This window comes from Homo sapiens, chromosome 21 (genome assembly GCF_000001405.40).
Source record: "Homo sapiens chromosome 21, GRCh38.p14 Primary Assembly".
NCBI classification, from domain to species: Eukaryota; Metazoa; Chordata; class Mammalia; order Primates; family Hominidae; genus Homo; species Homo sapiens.
The window spans coordinates 24,713,613-24,715,654 of NC_000021.9; the positions used below are offsets into that span (position 1 = coordinate 24,713,613).

The following is a 2,042-nucleotide window of genomic DNA, read 5'->3' on the forward strand; positions in this document are numbered from 1 at the left end:
TAAATGACATAGTGGGGTCGGTATTTGCAGCCTGTGGACTACACCTGTGTATTGTGAAGTCCACTGAATGGACTTCTGGAAGATTCCAAATCCTGCCTCACCATCCCTTAGCATAAACTTAGTGAGGTGGGGAGCTCTGGTGATCCGAGGGAAGTCTTCATCCTTTAAGGAGCCGGCAGTTGGGAATGGAGATCATGTCGACTTCTTTTGCTTCCATAACAAAGCTAAAAGATTTGGGGCATGAGGGTGCATCCAATGTGGCATGTATTGCCAACTTCATAAATGCTGATTATTTCCCAACAGCATCCCAAGAGTTGATGTTCCAGTCATGTCATCTGGGGAGAGAACTCTGATGAAATTCCGGAAGTCCGTTGTGCTGTGCGTTCTCTTGTCCCTAATTCATCTCTTCATCAGCCTCTGCCAGTGAGATCTCTGGATAACTGTGCCTTAGAGCTACGGTTGCCTGTGGGAAACAGAAAAGGGTTATCATTAAAGGAGCATCTGTTAGAGGGGTGTTCTTGTTCTGTTTTTGTTTTCTCAGCTTCTCTATTTGGTGTCCATTCATCACAAGGCAAATTATATTAACTATGTGTTCTTATTTTCTGTATTCTTTATGATCTGGCATTTGGGAACATCAGACCCACTATAGACGCAGGGAGAGACTGCCCCTTCCAGGGTTAGCTAATTGTTAAATACAGCAACTTGTGTAAAAGCATGCCTTTCATATGCAAGCCAACCACTCTCTTTATCTCACCCTCACACACCAAGCCAATATTCTTCTGCTCTAAATCATCCCAAGCCTAGGTATCAGACAACTAGGGACAGCCTCTATCCCCCGAAGCCCACCAGAATTACTGAATCTAACCAATCCTAACCCATGCACCTTGTCCTGTCCTGCCTTTTCCACAGGAATCCCAATACAGACTCCGACTAAGGCTTCCCTTTTACTCTTATCTTCTGTCTCTGGACCATCTTGTGTCCCTGTGAGGTCTGACATGTACCCTTCGTTTGTGAAATGTAAGCAATAAGTTCTTCTCTTAATGGAATTCGCCTCTTCATGTTGTCACTCAGTCATACTTCTATAAATTAAAACCTGGGTATAATTTTAGAACGGTTATATCTTGTGGCTTCCTCAAAACACTCTGGGGGATATATTTGTTTGTTTCTAGCAACATAATACAGTCCTTGGCATTCTCTTAATTTGGAATATTCAACATTGTGTTGTGGTTAATATTGCATCACATTTTCCTGATATGATTGGGGCTGGACTGGCTTTTCCTAAAACTTGTTATCTAATAAAGACTGCTGTTTTGGAGGAGAGTTTATATACACTAAGTTTGTAACTAATTCAAATACAATATGTCTGATGTCAAATTTTGTGCAGAAAACTACTTCCTTAGGGTGTCCCTGCCTGTCTCCAGGGTTGCAGCATATGTGAGTTCCACATCTGGACATTCTTATACTGTCTTCTTGGAAGGAAACCCAGCCTCCCAGCCACTTCTCTCTTAACTGATCTCTCTCACTTCTCCCAATAAGTTAGTCTGGGCTTATCACCTCAATAGCCATCCCTGATGTGGAGAGCCTGGGCAGCAACTGCAAATATAACAATTACCAGACCTGACAGCAGTTAGCACGATAAAGTACAAGTAGAGACTGGTACTAAACTGATGAAGGAGAAGCAAGATCAGGAGGAGACTTGTATGGGCCTGTGGTTCTCCAGGAAATATAGCTGGATTTAGTTAGTTTCAGGATGAAAGGAAACTGGTAGTCAAGGTGAGGAAAAAATTTAGGCTAAGATTAGAAATTTGAGCAAATCGGTGTTTAAGTTAATATTTTTAAATGAGTCTCATAACTTTGAGTTCCCTAATCCCTAGGATCGCAAAAATTTTTTGAAAGCATTAAATAGAATGGCTTGGGCTGGGCACGGGGGCTCACTGCTCTTTGGGAGCTCACAGCACTTTGGGAGGCCAAAGTGGGTGGATCTCTTGAGTCCAGGAGTTCTAGACCAGCCTGGGTAGCATGTTGAAACCATGTCTCTAAAA

The 2,042-nt window shown here is 42.7% G+C and overlaps 4 annotated features.

Annotated features, from left to right (window-relative positions):
* Positions 1,570-1,770: a silencer, noted in NCBI's record as "peak4391 fragment used in MPRA reporter construct". NCBI's record gives its function as "represses an SCP1 promoter by STARR-seq MPRAs in K562 erythroleukemia cells {active_cell/tissue: K562}" and the evidence as "EXISTENCE:reporter gene assay evidence [ECO:0000049][PMID:32103011]".
* Positions 1,688-2,042: part of a biological region, named in NCBI's record as "meiotic recombination hotspot A", that runs on past the window's edge.
* Positions 1,688-2,042: part of a meiotic recombination region, noted in NCBI's record as "this region was identified as a recombination hotspot within the HapMap YRI population", that runs on past the window's edge. NCBI's record gives the evidence for it as "EXISTENCE:nucleotide sequencing assay evidence [ECO:0000219][PMID:20981099]".
* Positions 1,816-2,042: part of a meiotic recombination region, noted in NCBI's record as "this region was identified as a recombination hotspot within the HapMap CEU population", that runs on past the window's edge. NCBI's record gives the evidence for it as "EXISTENCE:nucleotide sequencing assay evidence [ECO:0000219][PMID:18650392]".